Below are 19,429 nucleotides of genomic sequence, written 5' to 3'. Positions count from 1 at the left end.
CCATTCCTTTTAGATGATAAACGTATTATTTTATAATTTTTATTAAAAATCATGTAGTAAACAGTCATATGGGAACGCTTCTGGGAGGTACCAAGTTTTACCATATAATTCAGCATTAAACTCAGAAATCAAGATAACAGGACATAGACTAGAGATATTCACTGTTACAAATGTACTCTGCATAAAGAGGAACTGATGTTTTCACAAATCTAAGTAACTCACCAATTATCTACTACATATTCTTGTGGAAAAGTATTTATTTTCTACAGCCAAAATTAAAAAGAGATTCTCCCTATTTTTTTCCTTGGTTAGCATTCTAAAAGCCAAGACTTGGAATTCTGTTTGATCTCACCCATAAAAGACACACCCGAGAAAATTCTTAAACTCATTCTGGCAAAGAAAAAGATAAATGAGAATTTTTAACAAATGGACTATATAATTAGATATTATTTCTCTCCCTGAAACCCACCTTTTTGTAAATTTTTTACCTTTCAAGTTTTACTAATAAAATGCAACTTACAATAAAAAACTGAAGTCAAAAAAAGTGAAGAAATCTTTTCAAGATGATAAACCCCCAGAGAGTGGCAGTGCTGATTAGAAAACTGATGTGTTTGACTCGTGTCAAGTCAGGCCACGATCCCTTGATTCTCCCACCCCATCCTGCTCACTTAAGTGCTCAACGACCACCCTCTTCGGAGACACTATACCTCAGTTACTGCTCCAGATGCATTTTAGTTTGCAAGTTCTTGCACCATCTCACTGGAGTAAGTTTTTTTTAGTTTTTTTGGTACACTATTTTTTCTTTCACAAATGTTAAGAGAATTCAGGGGGAAGAAATTATTTGTTTTCCCCTTAATACCAGCATCTGATTGGCTGACCAGCAATCTGTCTCCAAGAAATGAAAGCTGGATTGGGTGAAGACAATCTTAATGTCTCAACGGGTTAGCTTTTCAAAAAAAAAAAAAAAAAAAAAAGTGTGGCCAGCGTGGGGTGCCTCACGCCTGTAATCTCAGCACTCTGGGACGCCAAGGTGGGCGGATCACTTGAGGCCAGGAGTTCAAGGCCAGTACAGCCAACATGGTGAAACCTCCTCTCTACAAAAAACACAAAAATTAGCCAGGTGTGTCGGCGTGCACTTGTAATCCCAGCTACTTGGTAGGCTGAGACTGGAGAATCGCTTGAACCTGGGAGGCGGAGTTTGCAGTGAGCCACGATCGCCCCATTGCACTCCAGCCTGGGCGACAGAATGAGACTGTCTCAAAAAAAAAAAAAAAAAAAAAAAAAAGTGCACCAGGAGATGCCTCTCAGCCCCACGACATCCACCTGCTCTTTTAAGAAGCTACACTCCATACCTGAGACTGTCCTATGGGAGAAAATGACCCAGGAGCTGATATTCACTAAACATTGTAGCAGACATAGCGATTGTGGGTATCTTGGTTTATCCCCAGACAGTACTAAAACTCAAAACCAGGAAAACACTGAGGAGTGGCTGAGGAAACAGCACTCCATAAAGTTTCCAAAGGGAAACCTTGACCCAAAAACATTTTGGTAAGATCTCTGTGCCTAGGGAAGATTATTTTAAAAAGAGGCACAGAGATTTTTTTACAATACAGTGTCAGGGGATGATTCTTTGCTTTCTTCTCCTGGGAAATATTTTCAAACAGAAAAAAATTTTTCTAAAGTGCTATCCAATGCTGTGTCAAAAAATGATTAATTAAAATACAGTATCTAAAATGTACACTAAAATAATGTGAATTAGGATGAGGAAGTTGGCATTTCGGAATGTCAGAAAAAACTGGAAATTTGGTATTTTACTGCAAGCCAGAGTTAGGCTGAAGGAATTGGGGGTGGGGAGTAGTCTTGAGACTCTGCTTGGGCCACATGTGAAAATTTCAGGGGAAAATCTATCCCCTGTAGAGTGTGTACACAATTAAGTAGCAGGCAATTAGACTGAGGTAGCTCCAGTCCCAGGGTCCCCATTTTTTAAAAAAATCTAACTCAAATTGGCCGGGCGCGGTGGCTCACGCCTGTAGTCCTAGCACTTTGGGAGGCGGAGGCGGGTGGATTGCCTGAGCTCAGGAGTTCGAGACCAGGCTGGGCAACACAGTGAAACCCAGACTCTACTAAAATACAGAAAAGTTAGCTGGGCGTGGCGGCGTGCGCCTGTAATCCCAGTTACTTGGGAGGCTGAAGCAGGAGAATTGCATGAACCCGGGAGGCGTTGGTTGCAGTGAGCCGAGATGGCTGCCATTGCACTCCAGCCTGAGCGACAGTGTGAGACTCTGTCTCAGAAAGAAAGAAAAAAAAATCTAACTCAAACTTTTTGTAAATTACAACATTGAGGGAAACAAAATTCAGGCTTAACCAACCATAAACTGCCAATTAACCTCTGATGACATAACCAGGAAATGTCCACCCTGAATTTACAAATTAAGAAACTACATAACGGTACCTAACCAATTATTGGCTTTCTTCATCACACACCTTATAAAAGTCTTTCCTTCAAGCCCTTCCCATGGACCACAAACTACAAACCACAGCTGGGTGCTCTATAATTTGTGAATGACTGTCTGATTAAATTCTTTAATATTTTCGCGGTGACTTCCATACATTTTTAATAGAAAAAAGGAGGGTCTGGGAACCCCATGGACCAAAGCTCTTCCTAGTCATGAACCCTGCATCCCGAGTCATCGAGGAGAGATGCGGCGCTGCGGCAGCAGAGCTGCCCAGGGAGGGCTCCAGGCCAGGGAACGGTCACTGCGCAGGGAGGAGACAGGACGCCCGGGATCCCGGCTGCCAGCCCAGCAGCCATCTTATGACTGAAGGGGACTGAGGGCCGAGCTGCGCCAAGGAGAACTCCTGGCCGCGGATTTTGGAGTCTACTGCAGGGAGGCCGGAGTCTCGCCACATCCACTTCCCACCAGTTCCAACCAGGCCCTCCCCCTCTCTCGGGATCTGGGACCCGGCACTCTCACCATTTCTAGGCTTCCAGGGAGTCCTGGCGTCTTAGCTGTGGATCTCCCAATACCTGCAGGTAACGGGGCCACAGAAGGTGGACCTCTAGGAGCAGAGGACATAGAGCAGTGAAGACGAGACCTGGAGCTGCGACTGCAGCGAGAGACAAAGGCCCCGCCAAATCCCGGAAGCCGTCCTGTCCGCTCCAGCTGCGTGCCTGATTGGACGGGTCCCAGCCCAGCGTCCCTGATTGGAGGATGTTTAAGGACCCGCCCCCTCAGGCCCTGAATGACAGAAGGTGTGCTCAGTTGCTGGGCTGAAAGAAGATAGAATGAAACCTAAACTGCAGGCTTTTCAGTCAGGGCTTCCTCCCTGAACTGAGCCCGGCCCACCCACGGGGTATTTGCATTTAACCTTGTGTATAAGGTCATATGCATTTATATTAATAAATAGTATAGTGTGTGAAAGGAAAATAAATTTTGCGGCCCCAAAATCACTAAGCTATAGGGAAAAGTCAAGCTGGGAACTGCTTAGGGCAAACCTGCCTTCCATTCTATTCAAAGTCACCCCTCTGCTCACTGAGATGATTGCATATCTGATTGCCTCCTTTTCCCAGGCTAATCAGGAACTCAAAAGAATGCAACCATTTGTCTTTTATCTACCTAGGACCTGGAAGCCGCCTCCCCACTTCCAGTTTTCTTTCTTTCTTTTTCTTTCTCTCTCTCTGTCTCTTTCGGAGTCTCGCTCTGTCTTCCAGGCTGGAGTGCAGTGGCACGATCCGATCTCTGCTACTGCAACTTCCACCTCCCTCCGGGGTTCAAGCGATTCTCCTGCCTCAGCCTCCAGAGTAGCTGGCTAATTTTTCTATTTTTAGTAAAGACGGGGTTTCACCACTTTGTCCAGGCTGGTCTTGAACTCCTGACCTCAGGTGATCCACCCGCCTCGGCTTCCCAAAGTGCTGGGATTACAGGCGTGAGCCACCGCGCCTGGCCTCAGAATAAACTTTCTAAATTAACTGAGATCTGTCTCAGATATTTGAGGTTCACAATTATATGGCTATTAACAAATGGAAAAAATATAATAACATTATTTAATATCCGATTTTACGACCTTCCTAGCTTCTGGTCCTTTAAGCAGGCAGCCTGAGATTTTAAAACGGAGTTAATTCTCTGAAATAAAATGTAAGCCACATGTGAATTTTAAATATTCTAGTAGCCAAACTTAAAAAAAAAAGGAAGAAACAGGTGGAATTTATTGTAACAATTTCATCGTTATATATTCTAGTTCTAGAATTCAAATATTCTAATATTCAAAATATTATTTTAATATGTGAGCAGTATGTAATTTTTCATGTAATATATATTATTGTATATAATAATATAAAATATGTATAATAATATATAATATTATGTATAATATTATACATGACCTCAAGTGATCTGCCCGCCTTGGCCTCCCAAAGTAGTGCTAGGATTACAGGCGTGAGCCACCGCGCCCGAAGCAGCGGTGCTTTTTGAGAAGGAGTTTCACTCGCACAATGTGGGCTCACCGCAACCTCCACCTCCGGGTTCAAGCGATTCTCCCACCTCAGCCTCCCGAGTAGCTGAGATTACCGGCATGTGCCATCGTGCCCGGCTAATTTTGTATTTTTAGTAGAGACGGCCTTTCTCCATGTTGGTCAGGCTGGTCTCGAACTCCCAACCTCATGTGATCCGCCCGCCTCGGCCTCCCAAAGTGCTGGGATTACAAGTGCTTTTAAGAGAAAGAGACACATCATAGGAGGATCCCATGGCAGAGAAAAGAAAAGAGGGTCTCACTTACGGAAGAAATAATCACCTATCATCTGGAATAGCATAAGACAAGCAAAAGAGATCACGACCTGACTACATCAATGAGAAGAAAAAGGCAACCTGGCTGAAAGGACTCATTGGCATCATGGAGCTACATTTAATAAGCTGCAGTGAATGGTCAGCCTCTGGGATACCAATAGTCTACCAAGAAGGCTGAACTCATTCTAATAAAATCAGCATGTCTGCACCATTCCGGTGGCATAGGGTTACAGTATCCGTTACAGAAACCCCATAAAGACCAGTGGGTACCCTTCTAGAATTGAAGTTATTGTGAAAAAGCATACCAGCGCCGGGCACGGTAGCTCATGCCTGTAATCCCAGCACTTTGGGAGGCTGAGGCAGGTAGATCACCTGAGGTCAGGAGTTCGAGACCAGCCTGGCCAACATGGTAAAACCTCATCTCTACTAAAAATACAAAAATTAGCCAGGTGTGATGGCGTGCGCTTGTAGTCCCAGCAACTCGGGAGGCTAAGGTATGAGAATCGCTTGAACTCAGGAGGCAGAGGCTGCAATGAGCCGAGATGGAGCCACTGCACTCCAGCCTGGGAGATAGAGCAAGACTCTCTCTACAAAAAAAAAAAAATAAATAAAGGCATACTAGCTTGGTGCCTTGGCTCATGCCTATAATCCTCGTGGCATGGAAAACTAGAACATGGACACACACAGAGTTAGGTTCAGAGCAGAAGTTTATAGGCAAAAGAGAAAAGAGCTCTCTGTGACAGAGAGTGTTCTTGGAGAAGTGGGTTGCTGGTTTCATGGTGAAATGCAAGGTGTTTTATAGATGATCTTGAGAAGGTAATGTCTGATGTACATAGGGTATGAAAGATTGATTGGATTAGGTGTGCCATTTGTATACGGTGCAAAAAACTGGTTAGGACTAGTTGTGCTATTTGCATAGGTGTGAAAATCTGGCCGCCCCCACCCTAATTTTTTATTATGCAGATGGATTCTCTGCCTGGCCAGCAGCCATGTTGCCTATTTCTTTAACGTTCAATGGTGAGGAAAGGGAGGATGGAGCCTCCATGTTGAACACACCTGGCTAGCTGCTGGCATTCACTAGTGCAAGCTTCCGGTTTGCTTATCCATGTTTGCTGCTCGATTTTTCAGGCTGCTTTTGGTTAAAAGGGAAACCTTGCCAGGGACTCTTTTACCCTCGCTATCTGCCTAAACAATTTCTTTCTATCTCCTGTACCACTTGCATTTTGGGAGTTCAAGGTGGATGGATCACTTGAGCCCAGGAGTTTGAAACCAGCCTGGGCAACATGACAAAACACCATCTCTACTAAAAGTACAAAAATTGCCCGGCATGGTGGCACAAGGCTGTATTCCCAGCTACTCAGGAGTCTGAGGTGGGAGGATTACTTCAGCCTTGAAAATGGAGGTGGCAGTGAGCCGAGATTACACAACTGCACTCCAGCCTGGGTGACAGAGCGAGACTTGGTCTCAAAACAAACAAACAAAAAAAAAAAAAGAGAGAGAAAAGAAAAAGCATAAAGCATACCTAATCATTTGTTATCACAGTTAAATCCCTTGAAACCAGGCAGGGTGTGGTGGCTCATCCCAGCACTTTGGGAGGCCGAGGCAGGCGGATCCCATGAGGTTGGGAGTTCGAGACCAGCCTGACCAACATGGAGAAACCCCGTCTCTACTAAAAATACAAAATTAGCCAGGCTTGGTGGCGCATGCCTGTAATCCCAGCTACTTAGGAGGCTGAGGCAGGAGAATCACTTGAAACCGGGAGGCAGAGGTTGCTGTGAGCCAAGATCACGCCATTGCACTCCAGCCCGGGCAACAAGAGCAAAACTCTGTCTCAAAAAAAAAAAAAAAACCTTGAAATTACAATGAACTTCTGCTAATTTTAGAGAATTCTGCTATACTGTACTACAATACTGAACTTTAAACAACTTAATAGAAATATTTTTTCTTTTTTTTTTTTGAGATGGAGTCTCATTTTATCTCCATCTGGAGTGCAGTGGCAAGATCTTGGCTCTACTTCAACATTTGTCTCCCAGTTTCAAGTGATTCTCTTGCCTCAGCCTTCCAAATAGCTGGGATTACAGGTATACACCACCACACCTGGCTAATTCTTGTGTTTTTAGTAGAAATGGGGTTTCACCATGTTGGCAAGGCCGGTCTGGGACTCCTGACCTCAAGTGATCCACTCACCTTGGCCTCCCAAAATGTCGGGATTACAGGCGTGAGCCACTGCGCCTGGCATAATATTTCCTGAAGGCATAAATAGTTATGTAGATAGTTTCTCTTAGATTAACATGATAAAAGTAACAAAGACAACATTTTAAATGGGATAAAATTAACCAAAATCACATTTTTTTTCAATGGCTTGGCATAATTGCCATGTTTTCTGAAATGACAGATTACTAACAAGAAGCAAAGACAAGATTTTTGCTTTGCTCAATTGTTAAGTTTTGGACCTTTTGAAATTTAAAATTCTGGCTAAACAATTTGAAGGGAGAATTCTTTAGGTGGCTTCCTAGGGTTTCCAAGGCAATACAAGAATTTTCATAGGCAGGAAAATGCATGTTATATACACATATTGTTCTTCTCTGCTTTGCTTTCATGTTTAAAAATTGAAAATTGCAAATCTAGTCTCTCAATTTAGAGTAAGTTAACAAAAGATTTATTTTTCAGCAAAGCAAATAATTGTAGAAAACTTATGGGGAACAAATGCCATTAGCTGCCAAAAACAGTATGACCGGATTCAGTAAGTATCTAGCCATGCAAATGACAGCCCAGTTAAATTAAGACCCCAAAGGTGCATGTGGACAGCATTTCCATGCAATGTGGTGCACCTCCACTGGGCACCTTCTTCTGCCTGCTTACAGAGATACCAATTTCCCCTAAGTGACTCAATGTGAATACTGGAAACTGAGAATGCTGTGTTCAGAGGGATTACTAGGAACATGGTTAACACACTTACCATATTATAATAAAATTTGATGTATCCTACTCTACCTCACAAAGGCTTTTAGTAAAAGATTGTTTATTTATAGTACTCAATATGGATTTATGAAAAATTATAATATATTCCAGGAAAGTCAGAGACACTTAAATGTCAACCAAATTCCATAAAACACACTTGAATGAGACAAAGTCTTCTTAGCTAAAAATGTTATCAGTAAATTTAGGATAAAATAGAAAACCAGTTCTTTGTGTTAAATGAACAGCGTTTGGCACGCGAGTACTACTCAAACGAAGAACACTCAAACGAGTGTTCTTCACTGTCATCATTAAAATGGCAATAACAACACGTGCTTTCCTGGCACCAGCTGGCTTGCTTTCCATTGGTGTTAAGTGAAGAAGGTGTTGAAATAGAGAAGAAAGGTGATATAAATTGAATACTTATATAAAATACTATTTTTAATAAAAAGTAGCATTTGATGTACAACTACAGGTAAGACTTGTATGAAGTAATAATGTTATTCTATTGACAGAATAACTTTATTCACAATATTCTTATTTCAAACAATATCCCTTTTTTGGCTAAATATATGCCAGCCTTTTGGTGAAATATTACCTGAGCTCAAGAGAAATCAGCAAAATGAGGCCGGGTGCGGTGGCTCACGCCTGTAATACCAGCACTTTGGGAGGCCGAGGCGGGAGGATTACGAGGTCAGGAGATCGAGACCATCCTGGCTAACACGGTGAAACCCTGTCTCTACTAAAAAATACAAAAAATTAGCCGGGCGTGGTGGCAGGCGCCTGTAGTCCCAGCTACTCGGGAGGCTGAGACGGGAGACTGAGACGGGAGACTGGCGTGAACCCAGGAGGCAGAGCTTGCAGTGAGCAGAGACCGTGCCACTGCACTCCAGACTGGGCGACAGAGCAAGACTCCGTCTCAGAAAAAAAAAAAAAAAAAGAAATCAACAAAATGAACCTTTATTTTACCAGAAGCATTTTACTATTGATGCGTATGCTTATTTTGCTTAAAACACATCAGCTTTTTGGCTGGGCACGGTGGCTCATGCCTGTAATCCCAGCACTTTGGGAGGCCGAGGCGGGTGGATCACGAGCTCAGGAGATCGAGACCATGCTGGCCAGCACAGTGAAACCCCGTCTCTACTAAAAATACAAAAAATTAGCTGGGTGTGGTGGCGGGCGCCTGTAGTCCCAGCTACTCGGGAGGCTGAGGCAGGAGAATGGCGTGAAACTGGGAGGCAGAGCTTGAAGTGAGCTGAGATTGCGCCACTGCACTCCAGTCTGGGCGACAGAGCAAGATTCCGTCTGAAAACAAACAAACAAACAAAAACATTAGCTTTTTATGAGAGACACACTTTTCTTTCAGTGATTTCTATACTGCTGAGAAGTGGTTGTTCTACCAGGAAACTGCTATTCTCAGCTCTACCAACATTAAGTTTTGACTCCTCAGCATATAATTCCATTCCCTGGTGAATCAAAACTGAGAGAAGAATAAATTACATGTTAAGGTAAGAGACATAGGGAAGACCCATTACTTTTGACCCACATCTCCTCCACCCCCAGCCCCAGGCAATCATCATTCTACTCTCTGCTTCTATAGTTTTTGTGCTGACTTATTTTACTTAGCATAATGTCCTCCAGGTTCATTGATGTTGTTGCAAATAACAAGAGTTGCTTCTTTTGAAGGGCTGAATAGCATTCCATTGTGTAAATATACCACATTTTCTATATTTATTCACCTGTTAATTAACACTTAGTTTGATTCCATACCTTAGGAGTAATTGTGAGGAATCCACTTCCCCTTTTTTTCATTTGCTTTTACCTCTTTTTATTTTTATTTCTAGAAGCATTTTAATTTAATACTATAACTTATGATTGTTACATAGATCATCTGAGCTTGATTTGGGTCATGAGCTATGAGCCCAGATTTACATCCTTGGAGCTGCGATCTGCATTATTAATAAAAGATACTATTTTTCCAAGGGCTGTTTTAATTTATACATAGTAGCTATAAGCATTTTTCACTGAAAAGCTCTTCTAAATATATTATAGTAAATATTTAAGAATAAGAATAAAATCATTTATATTTCAAAGATTTTCTTATACTTGACTGGGTATATTTTGTCATATTTAATGTATTTATTCTTTCTGAAAAATGCCAAAATAAGAATTTTATTATTTTTCCTGGAATAACAGACTGGGTTTCTGTATTGTGTCTTTGCTAATTTTTGCATATAGATTTGACTGCTACCATTGAATTTAGGTTGAGTTTTAAAGCCACTGTTTTTTAGTTTGTGTGGTTTTTGGTTCATTTGCGGAACCAAATATATTTCATTTGCGGAACCAAATATATTAGACATTTAGTGTTTGGGGTAACTTGGCTTCTTTTCTACTCCCTTTTTGTTATTACCTTTGGAGCTTTAGAAATTGCTAGGATTCAAATAAGGTTGGTTTTGAATCAAGTGATAGAAAATTCCAGAAAAGACTGAGGGAAATAGCTACTGGATAGTGCCTTTCAGTGAGATTTATACATGAAAGAGTTTATTGCAACTTTGTTGAATTTAGAAAATAATTGCCTACAACATATATAGGCAATTATTGGTGACAGAGTGAGACTCCGTCTCAAAAAAAAAAAGAAAAGAAAAAAGAAAATAAAAGCTTTATTTTACCAAATTTTTCATACTGAAAGTTCAAATTCTTAAATATTGACAGTGACATTCTAGATTACCATTTTCTAGGTGATGTAGTTTGCATTTATTAGCACTGCCTTTCAATTTTTCCTTTTGTGGTGTAAGGTTATAAAAATGCCTTCCAGTTGATTTCTTGGGTAATAGCAGACTCTGTTTTCTCAGTAGCCTAAGAATTCTTGATATACCACTTTTAGAGGTATTTGAACACAACTGGATATATGTGCTGAAATATGGATGTATTTATAACCTCATTAGAGACTAAATCATGGCAACACGTTACAGTTCAATATTTTTGTCTAAATTCTTGTTGAGCCACATCCATCTGTATATGTAATACTGAGTTGCCAACAGCTTTTTTATACTAAGCCAGAACTCATTTTACCCTGTGGTTTCGTTTGAAATGTATGAGCTGTACTATATAACATACAAATAAGTAATAAAAATTTCATTCAAAGACTATGGAAAGAAAAGTCATACAGGCACACTGTTAGTGAATCGGAATCTGGCACATGACACTGATTAACAGGTTGAGCAGATTCAACTAGATCTAAATCCCTGAAACAATATTGAAAGACAGAATTTTTTAATTAAAAATATCTTTGACAATTTAATAGACCTATGAAATTTGAAAAAAATCAATTTGTTTACTCATCATCAATCAATATTAGGTTAAACTAAAAATTTTTGAACACATCATAAAAAAATAAAATTAATTCACTATCCCCAGACTTACTGTGATTAACACAAGACTTCAGTGTATTTGAAAGCACCAAATTATTAATTAAAAATCTCCATTTTGAAAAGATCTTCAAATTTTTTTTTTCTTGAGATGGAGTCTCGCTCTGCCACCCAGGCTGGAGTGCAGCGGCACGATTAGGGCTCACTGCAACCTCTGCCTCCTGGGTTCAAGTGATTCTCCTGCCTCAGCCTCCTGAGTAGCTGAGATTACAGGTACACGCTGCCATGCCCAGCTAATTTTTTTTTTTTTTGTATTTTTAGTAGAGACGGGGTTTCACTATGTTGGCCAGGCTGGTCTTGAACTCCTGACCTCGTGATCCATCTGCCTCGGCCTCCCAAAGTGCTGGGATTACGAGCATGAGCCACCGTGCCCGGCCCGATCTTTCGTATATAACTACTAAGTAAAACCTAATACTAATATGTTTGATTTATGAAAGATTTGTGAATGCCCATCACTGTAGTTAAAAATCATAAAATTATATAAATAGACTGTCTAAATAATTTTGATTAAAATAGTTGGTATTTTATTTGAGTACCAGTATTTATATAGTATGACAAATTCAGGTTTATTTTATGAAATGGCAAAAGAGTATTTTACTTTTTTAGAAAGGTAAAAAGTATTTTTTTTTTTTTACTGTTGTGACATTTTATAAAATAAGCCTAAATTTGTGGAGACATTTTTTAAAAAGCCAATCTTTTCTAAAGGAAGATTTATACATAAGAAACTAGAGATATAAATGTCATATTATATACATCATTTCCTGAACCCTACAGTAATCTGTAAAGTTTGTTTGTATACACCAATCTTAGATTACCTAAAACATAATAAAGTTTTTTAGTGTTATATTTAACATACAAAAGTTCAAAATATATCCAGACGGACAGGACCTATGGCTGCCACTTTAAAAAAACAAATGATTGGCCGGACATGGAGGCTCATGCCCGTAATCCCGGCACATTGGGAGGCCGAGGCTGGTGCACCACTTGAGGTCAGAAGTGTGAGACCAGCCTGGCAAACACGGTGAAACCCTGTTTCTTCTAAAAATACAAAAAGTAGCCAGGTGTAGTGGCACGCGCCTGTAGTTTCAGCTACTCTAGAGGCTGAGGCAGGAGAATTAATTGAACCCGGGAGACGGAGGTTGCAGTGAGCCCAGATTGCACCACTGCACTCCAGCCTGGGCGACAGAGCAAGGCTATGTCTCAAATAAATAAATAAATAAAAACAAATGTTTTAGCACGAAAAGAACTTAAAATAGTAAACTAAACTGTGACAGTTTAGATTAAAAACATGAGAAATGACTTTTTATTTGCACTTATGCTTAATTACCTTTATTCATTTTGGAACATGCAGGAAATGATGCGGTGGTAACTTGCTGGGTAGTGACTAGGACGGTATTTACTGTCCTAGGGATGGTGGGATCCAGTGGACCAGAATCGTCAGCACCTCACCATGTACGCTGCTGTCCTCTCTCTGTGACTGTTTTGTGAGAGAGGAAGGGAAGGGAAGGGGAAGGGAGGGGAGGGGGAGGGGAGGGGGAGGGGAGGGGTGGGGAGGGGGACGGGAGGGAGGAAACAGAGCAACTCACCATTGCACCTCCCATGCTGGCCACAACATCTGTTTATGGTGGGCCTACTGTGGGTTGCTTGGAGACTGCATGACATGTTCATACCGGCCCTCAAGATGCCATCAATAGGGGAGCCAGAGAAGTAAGCAAATAATTAGCATGCATGAGCTGCTATTCGCTGCTTTAAAGGCTGCTTCTCTTACCTGGTATCTATTCTTGTAAGGAAAATGATCCATCTCTAAAGATTTCTGAAAGAAAACAGAACATGATGGACTGTTCTGGCATGCAGCTTCTTTTAAGTTATGGAAAGATGTTCATGATAGATTGTGTTCAGTGAAAAAATGGTATGCAATGCGTGCTCAAAACTGTGAAAAATATACACTTTTGGAAAGGGTTATATCAAAATGTCACAGTGTTTGGTTGTCTCTGAGTGATGATGAGTCTTAATGATACAGAAAGTAGAAAAAAAATATTTGACAGACAGTGAGCATAAAAGAGTACTTGGCAGAGCTTCCCTTTAGCAAAAGGAAGACAAATTTTTTTTTTTCTTTACTAACAAAGATCAGCCTGAAAAATGGAGCTGCAAACATAGATAAGCAAGCTGGAAGCTTGGAAGGGTGAATGCCGGCAGCTGTGCCAATAGAAAAGGGCTACCTGTGGGCCAGGCATGTCCAACACAGAGGCTCCATTTTTGTTGTTGTTGTTGTTACTACATGTAGAGTAAAGGAATGGGCAATATGATGCAGCTCAGGAAGAAGACCCACTTAAGACCCACTTACATAATACAAGATTAGGGTGGGAGTGGACACAAATTTGCCACCTATGCAAATTTTCCGTAATCCATGCAAATGACATACCTCTAACCAATTTTTCATGCTCCATGCAAATGACATACCTGGTCCAACCAATCTTTCGTGCCCTGTGTAAATCAAACACCGCCCCCCTCATCAGGCATCTATAAAATCCCATGCATTTCACTGTGGATCCTGCAGCCCATTTGGGACCCCTCTCTCTGCAGCACAGGGAGCTTTTCTCTTTCTTCCACCTATTAAACTTCTGCTCTTAACCTCACTCTTGTGTGTCCACATCCTAGTTTTTTATGACCATTAGGCAACAAATCTCGGGTATCACCCCAGAAGAACAAGGCTGCTTCATTAGGTTCCTGGAAAATGACACTGAACCCCTGTCCTGGGGAAGACAGAGGATGCCCATCCAAGGTCATGGATTCATTCCTAGCTTCTCTTCTATTTACAATAAAAAAAAGAATAGCTGATATTACTGAGCACTAACTATGAGCCAAGCACTGTTGCTAAGCAAATTACATAATAACTCATTTAATCCTCCCTCAGCAACTCTGGCAGGTCTAGCTGGTTCCAGTGTTTATTTTCCATTGTTTTTCCAAGTGTGGCAGCATTCAAGAGAATTGTTTTCTTTCCTTTTAGGGTTGAATACTGTTTTTTTTGTCTATGAAAGAGGATACTCTGATTTCTCCCAAATGATAAGTTTAAATTTTGTTGCAATATCCAGTGATTTCTTTTCACTGGAAGGAAAGGAGGCATGCAGTTTTATTTCTGTCAGCCTGCTCAGGGCCACAGAGGTGTGGACACCTAGGAGCCAGGGTCATTTTCTGAGGACAATGAGAGTCATTGAAAGGCACAAGTAGGTGAGGGATGGATTGGGCTGCTGGTTTGAAAGTGCAACATGGAGCTTCCTAAGGCACAGGCAGCTTGGAGGCAGAGAGGCCAGTGAGAGGCAGGAGCAGCAGCCCAGGCTGTCACCAAGGAGGGGACAATGTGGTAAAAATGGAGAAATGCACATGGGTCTGAAAGGTTTAGATAAATGTGGATTTCAGCACCTCCTCTCCCACACCCCACTTATCAGCTGTGAACCTGGGGCAAGGCACTCTTTTCTGTGTCTTTATGACTTAGCTGAGGTGACCACTAAGTAGGAAAAGTGCCTGGCTGGTGATACATAATAAGTAGCTGCAAGTGGTAGCTTTCTTCCCTACCCACTTGAAGCAGAAATTGGTGACCAGTTTTTCTCTCTGAGTCATCCAGCTGGCACCAGAGAAATTCTGATGCTGCTTGTTCAGACAGGGCCACAACGATGTCTGGGTGACATGGCAAATCTGATCCTTGGACCAGTTTGGAAAAGATGGGGAAGGAGACAGAGCCAGAAAAACTGGGCCAGATGCCTGGATTCCAATCATACCCAGGCCTAGGCCCCTCTGGTTCTGGCTGTGCTGTGCCTGTCTGGGTCCTGAGCCAAGTGATACTTGGTTCTTACCCACAGGAAGGTCACCATAGACCAAGGAAAACTCACAAATACAAATACACCATCTTCTCATGCTGAGGCTTTATTAAGCCCCAGTGGCTACTCTGGGAGAGAGGTGCCATTGTCTCCATTTTAAAGATAAGGAAACCACAGCTTACAGAGAGATATGGCCAGAGTTGTCCAGCCTCGGAGTGACTGAGGCAGAACCAAAGTCATAACTTGTCCAGCTGCAAGGCTTGAGTTTTCAGCCTAGCCCAGAAGACATCATCCTGCCCAGGCCTGGCTGCAACCTCACCCACCTGTGACTCATTTCTGGGACCACTGGCAGAAAGAGGAGGCTCTATTTTGAGCAATGGGGAGCCCAGGCCAAGCACAGCCATCTGCCCCTGCAGAAATGAGTGGGGCTGAAAGCTTCATGGTTTCCAGGTTTTCATATCTACCCTGAGCCAACAAAGGCTTGTGGCTGTTGGCACACAGGCAAATTGTCCAACCTCCAGATGGAGCAGAGCAACGGTGAAGGAAGCCTGCTGGTTCTTGTCTCACCTCAGCCACTTCTGAGCTCTGTAGCCTTGCACCAGCCTTTGCCCCATCACTGAGCCTGTTTTCTGCCTTACAATGGGGACACTGATACAAACCACACACACAATGAGGATGAAAACAGATAACAGGTAAAATGACCTCACCTGCCAGGGAGTCCATGCTCAGAGGACTCTCATGCTCTTGGATGGAATATTTCCTCAGAGAAATAGAGCTTGGGGGTCAGGGACATGGGACCTGCCACTGACCTGCTCTGTGACTCTGAGACAGTGGCTTCCACTCTCTGAGCTCAGATCCCCACTGGGCAGGCTGCTCTGATCTTCTATGTCCCTGTGTTGGGAAGGGAGTTCGTCCTCCCCAGCTTGTCAGGGAACCCTTGGCCATGGCTGAGGGCAATCTGGCCCCAGTGCCCTGGCTTATTGGAACAGCAGGAAAAGGCAAACACAAAACCCAGACCGCAGCTGATCACGGAACCTGCTCTCCTTGACCCACAAGGATTTGTTGTGATCCAGCCAGCCTGTGACTCTGTCCACATGCTGCTCCTCTGCAGGGATGCTGCTGTTCACTCCTACTCTACTGAGACACGCAGATGTCCTGGCATGGGAGAATTCCCTCTCTCTCTCTCTCACACACACACACACACACACACACACACACACCCCTAACCTGCTTCCTCCAGGCTCCTAAATCACCTGTCCACAAAACCTGTCTTCAGCGGCCCCTTAGCCTGTGAGCTGCCCTCATTCCCCCTCACAGCCCTGAGTGAGGGTGTGCAGCCTCCTTGGGCAAGAGGATGCGGGCTCTGGGAGGCTGCGTCGCACATCTCCAGTCCCCACTGCAGGGCCTCTCACCGGCTGGGGCAGTGACCCCTGGTCGGAAGCACCTCAGTGCTGCTCATGATTGCAGAGGTGGCCTCACCAGATAGAGGGTCCTGGAGGGCGTGGGGGCTTGGTCTCTGACTGCCAGCAAAAGAAGCCGACATAGAGGCAGCAGGCGACAAACACTGAGGCAACTGACTTGCCCGAATTTAACCCTCAGGTTTTTTAAATAAAATGCAAGTGCAGGGGCTTGGGCTCGGGACTCCTGGAGCCCCGTGGGGCTGAGCGTGGATGGTGCTCGGTGTCCAGCTACACTCCCAAACCGCATCCCGAGCGTTTGCGGGGCGGAGGGGCCCCAGGGCGACGGTTCCAGAACAGACCCAGGCGGCTCCGGTCAGCAGCAGCCCCGCTGCTTTCCAACAGCGCGGGGACCCCCATCCCCGCCAGCCCCATCTCACTGTCCCTCTCAGGTCAGAGGAGACCGTAGAGGACCGCGTGGCACCAGGAGCTGCCAGGAACCAGGGCGACCTAGAAGAAACCGGGAACCTGGCGTCCCGCGGGGACGCAGCCCCAGGAAAGGTGAGGCCACCCGAGCCCGAGTGGGAAGGGGCTCCGCGCTCCTGGTCACCCGCAGGAGCCGCACGGCCCTGCCAGATGACCCCGGGCCGGACCCTCAGCACCAGCTGTTGGGGCGGAGGGGACGCGGTGGGTACGGCTCAGGCACCGGCGGGCGAGAGCCTGGACACTGCCGGGAGCCCGACCTCCCGGCCCTTTGCGGGCGGGGAGCGGGGCCAAGGAACAGCGCCAGCCCCTCTCCACAAGCCGGTGACCCCATGACTGCAGGGGCTGCCGCCGCCAGCAAGTGAGCTCAGCTCAGCCCGGGCGTCCCCTCCGCAACGAGGCCCGGATCCCTGCTTGGCTCCCGGAGCCCGGACTGTGCCTTCCGCAAAACGGCTGCGCTCTAGGTAGGAGAAACGTTCTTCGCTTCCTGCTTTGTGGACACTCGGTTCCTTGTAGGCGGTTCTGCTTGGCCCCTTGCCCTTATTAACCTTGACCACGGCGGCTGGGTGGACAGGGGCTGGACACCCTGGGCTCCACCAGAGTTTTCTCTTGCAGGGTGACTTGGACTCTGGCACTCAGGGCCTCCGTTTCCCTGGCAGATAGATGAACATGGCTTGAGCAACTTTGTGTTCAGACGGTTTCTTCTTTCCAGAAAGTGGCCTCCACAGTGCACTTCCCGGCAGCATGGAGTCGGCAGTGGCAGCGTTTCTATCCGGCTCTGCGGGGCTGGGTGTGAACGGGACTCTCCCATCCCGCTGTCCTCCAGGAGCCGGACCTCTCACCCCGAAGACTTTGCCGAAGACGCGGCCCCCTGGTCAGGGGCAGAAAACAGATCCAGGCCGCCCCGCTCCTGCTGGGTGGTGGAGAAGGTGGAGGGCGGGCAGGTGCTAAGTGCTACTGTGAAAATAAAAATCATCATAATAAAGAACGAATGGGTTTCGTATCTCTTAATTCTCACCATCAATAGGGTATTCGTGGGCCCATTTGACAGAGGAGGAAGCCACCTGGAGAAGCTCCCTTCCTTGAGAGCCAGGCCCTTCCCTGTCCAGCCCCGTGTCACCTGCTTCCCTTACAGCTCGCTCTCTCTCCCTCTCATCTTCATAACCCGCTTCCCCCTGGGAGCAGGAATTTGAGCTCAGAGGTGTTGAGCAGCCTGTGCGAGGCCACGGAGCTCACAGGAGGAAGGACCCCCATAGAGACAGGGACATCTGACGAGGGAGCGCCCTCCTCTGGCTGGAGGGTGGGGCAGCAGCAGCAGCAGCCAGGCTTCAGGGAATGGGGTGAAATGAGGGCCCCGGGGGCTCCCCAGGTGGAAGAAGCACAGGTCTGGTAGAGGTTCCCAGGTGACAGGAGTTTGAGTGAGTGTCAGGGAGGTGTGTGAGGAAGGTGGAGACAGGTCCCACTTGGGCAGGTCCTGCCTGAGTGCCAGCATTGGGGCTGGGACTTCTCAGGGATGGGGGAGTTTTCTGCCTGCCCTGGGGCTGGGGTTATGCCCTCCAGCGCAGGTAGGGCTTCCTGCTTCCCCCATCAGGATGCAAGTTCTGGATTCGCACAAGGGTGAGGAACCAGTGACCCACCCGACCACCCCTCTGAAATGGGTCAAGGGGAACCCTGGGGCAGGACACCCTGCTCAGAGTCAGAGCCCTGAACTATTAAGAAAAAAAAAAAAAAAGACAGGGCACGGTGGCTCATGCTTGTAATCCCAGCACTCTGGGAGGTCGAGGCGGGCAGATCATGAGGTCAGGAGTTCAAGACCAGCCTGGCCAACACAGTGAAACCTTGTCTCTACTAAAAATACAAAAAGATTAGCTGCATGTAGTGGCGGGCGCCTGTAATCTCAGCTACTTGGGAGGCTGAGGCAGGAGAATCGCTTGAACCCGGGAGGCAGAGGTTGCAGTGAGCTGAGATCCCACCACTGCACTCCAGCCTGTGCAACAGAGCTAGACTCCATCTCAAAAACAAACAAACAACAACAAAAACACTGCACAATGGAGCAGTTGTCCTTCATCCAGAGGACACTGGCCCTCTCCACTCACTCCAAACTACCAGAAGACAGGTTAGCATGTGCCCTGCCTGCCATGCAGGGCCACATGGAAGGAGGGAGACCCACGTGGAAGGAGATGATCATGAGGCCAGATGAGAACATGCAAAGGGCAATTGCAGGGGCTGGTCTGAGGTGTGGAAGGAGTTAAGTTGGTAAGGCAGGCTGTGCATTTTAGAGAAAACTGCCTGTGTCAAAGACTTGCACGTGCACACATTCACAGCATGGCCTCCACTTCATCCATCAGAAAATAATGATAGACCTAGCTTTGCACACACACAGGGATTTGATCCACATGAGACCTCAGTCCAAACCAAGTACCGACCATGGAAAAGTAGTCTCCATAGGGTCCCCAGTGTCCTTGGGACATAACACCTTTGTGAGGAATAAGTGAAGGGACATCTGTAAAGTTCTTGGTGTCGTGCCCAGCCTGGTAAATGCCCAGCACAGATCTGCTGCCACT

General features: G+C 45.2%; 2 protein-coding genes across 47 annotated transcripts in view, besides 9 other annotated features; one reads left to right on the top strand and one right to left on the bottom strand.

The window, feature by feature from the left end:
* Positions 1-19,429, bottom strand: part of ZNF273 (zinc finger protein 273) — a 59,714-nt gene that overhangs the window by 30,922 nt on the left and 9,363 nt on the right. For 9 of the 46 annotated variants that reach the window (XR_007059982.1, NR_169748.1, NR_169747.1 and 6 more), the window contains exon 1: positions 2,976-3,122. Coding sequence is in view for 4 of the 46 variants with exons in the window: in NM_021148.3 (NP_066971.2) it covers positions 2,976-3,077 (102 nt within the window). In the remaining 42 variants the exon portion in view is untranslated. Of the gene's footprint in view, positions 1-2,975; positions 3,123-8,340; positions 9,048-12,497; positions 18,111-19,429 lie in introns of those variants that run through there. The other 37 variants (NR_169738.1, NR_169742.1, NR_169745.1 and 34 more) reach the window with 20 other exon arrangements.
* Positions 2,382-3,254: an enhancer, noted in NCBI's record as "NANOG-H3K27ac-H3K4me1 hESC enhancer chr7:64363519-64364391 (GRCh37/hg19 assembly coordinates)". NCBI's record gives its function as "activates a minimal SCP1, AML or CMV promoter by ChIP-STARR-seq in naive and primed H9 embryonic stem cells {active_cell/tissue: H9 hESC(naive and primed)}" and the evidence as "EXISTENCE:reporter gene assay evidence [ECO:0000049][PMID:30033119]".
* Positions 2,868-2,977: an enhancer, noted in NCBI's record as "active region_26068". NCBI's record gives its function as "activates an Ori minimal core promoter by ATAC-STARR-seq in GM12878 lymphoblastoid cells {active_cell/tissue: GM12878}" and the evidence as "EXISTENCE:reporter gene assay evidence [ECO:0000049][PMID:35858748]".
* Positions 3,008-3,067: an enhancer, noted in NCBI's record as "active region_26067". NCBI's record gives its function as "activates an Ori minimal core promoter by ATAC-STARR-seq in GM12878 lymphoblastoid cells {active_cell/tissue: GM12878}" and the evidence as "EXISTENCE:reporter gene assay evidence [ECO:0000049][PMID:35858748]".
* Positions 3,255-4,127: an enhancer, noted in NCBI's record as "NANOG-H3K27ac-H3K4me1 hESC enhancer chr7:64362646-64363518 (GRCh37/hg19 assembly coordinates)". NCBI's record gives its function as "activates a minimal SCP1, AML or CMV promoter by ChIP-STARR-seq in naive and primed H9 embryonic stem cells {active_cell/tissue: H9 hESC(naive and primed)}" and the evidence as "EXISTENCE:reporter gene assay evidence [ECO:0000049][PMID:30033119]".
* Positions 3,468-3,517: an enhancer, noted in NCBI's record as "active region_26066". NCBI's record gives its function as "activates an Ori minimal core promoter by ATAC-STARR-seq in GM12878 lymphoblastoid cells {active_cell/tissue: GM12878}" and the evidence as "EXISTENCE:reporter gene assay evidence [ECO:0000049][PMID:35858748]".
* Positions 3,538-3,587: an enhancer, noted in NCBI's record as "active region_26065". NCBI's record gives its function as "activates an Ori minimal core promoter by ATAC-STARR-seq in GM12878 lymphoblastoid cells {active_cell/tissue: GM12878}" and the evidence as "EXISTENCE:reporter gene assay evidence [ECO:0000049][PMID:35858748]".
* Positions 15,896-16,612: an enhancer, noted in NCBI's record as "H3K4me1 hESC enhancer chr7:64350161-64350877 (GRCh37/hg19 assembly coordinates)". NCBI's record gives its function as "activates a minimal SCP1, AML or CMV promoter by ChIP-STARR-seq in naive H9 embryonic stem cells {active_cell/tissue: H9 hESC(naive)}" and the evidence as "EXISTENCE:reporter gene assay evidence [ECO:0000049][PMID:30033119]".
* On the top strand, positions 16,295-18,058 carry LOC441239 (uncharacterized). The gene is made up of 3 exons (XM_011516745.3): positions 16,295-16,943; positions 17,208-17,329; positions 17,578-18,058. Exons 1-3 carry the CDS (start codon positions 16,656-16,658, stop codon positions 18,056-18,058), a joined length of 891 nt encoding a protein of 296 aa, XP_011515047.1. The 5' UTR covers positions 16,295-16,655.
* Positions 17,331-18,048: an enhancer, noted in NCBI's record as "H3K27ac-H3K4me1 hESC enhancer chr7:64348725-64349442 (GRCh37/hg19 assembly coordinates)". NCBI's record gives its function as "activates a minimal SCP1, AML or CMV promoter by ChIP-STARR-seq in primed H9 embryonic stem cells {active_cell/tissue: H9 hESC(primed)}" and the evidence as "EXISTENCE:reporter gene assay evidence [ECO:0000049][PMID:30033119]".
* Positions 18,049-18,767: an enhancer, noted in NCBI's record as "H3K4me1 hESC enhancer chr7:64348006-64348724 (GRCh37/hg19 assembly coordinates)". NCBI's record gives its function as "activates a minimal SCP1, AML or CMV promoter by ChIP-STARR-seq in primed H9 embryonic stem cells {active_cell/tissue: H9 hESC(primed)}" and the evidence as "EXISTENCE:reporter gene assay evidence [ECO:0000049][PMID:30033119]".

This window comes from Homo sapiens, chromosome 7 (assembly GCF_000001405.40).
Source record: "Homo sapiens chromosome 7, GRCh38.p14 Primary Assembly".
NCBI lineage: Eukaryota > Metazoa > Chordata > Mammalia > Primates > Hominidae > Homo > Homo sapiens.
Note: the sequence above shows the minus strand (reverse complement) of the source record. Positions and strands in the feature narration are given on the sequence as shown.

Excerpts from the sequence above, each read along its gene's own strand:
- LOC441239 (XM_011516745.3), top strand. The coding sequence starts at position 16,656 with ATGGTGCTCGGTGTCCAGCTACACTCCCAAACCGCATCCCGAGCGTTT. Across the intron at positions 16,944-17,207 it reads GGGACGCAGCCCCAGGAAAG|GGGCTGCCGCCGCCAGCAAG; the intron begins GTGAGGCCACCC and ends CCATGACTGCAG. Across the intron at positions 17,330-17,577 it reads GCAAAACGGCTGCGCTCTAG|AAAGTGGCCTCCACAGTGCA; the intron begins GTAGGAGAAACG and ends TCTTCTTTCCAG.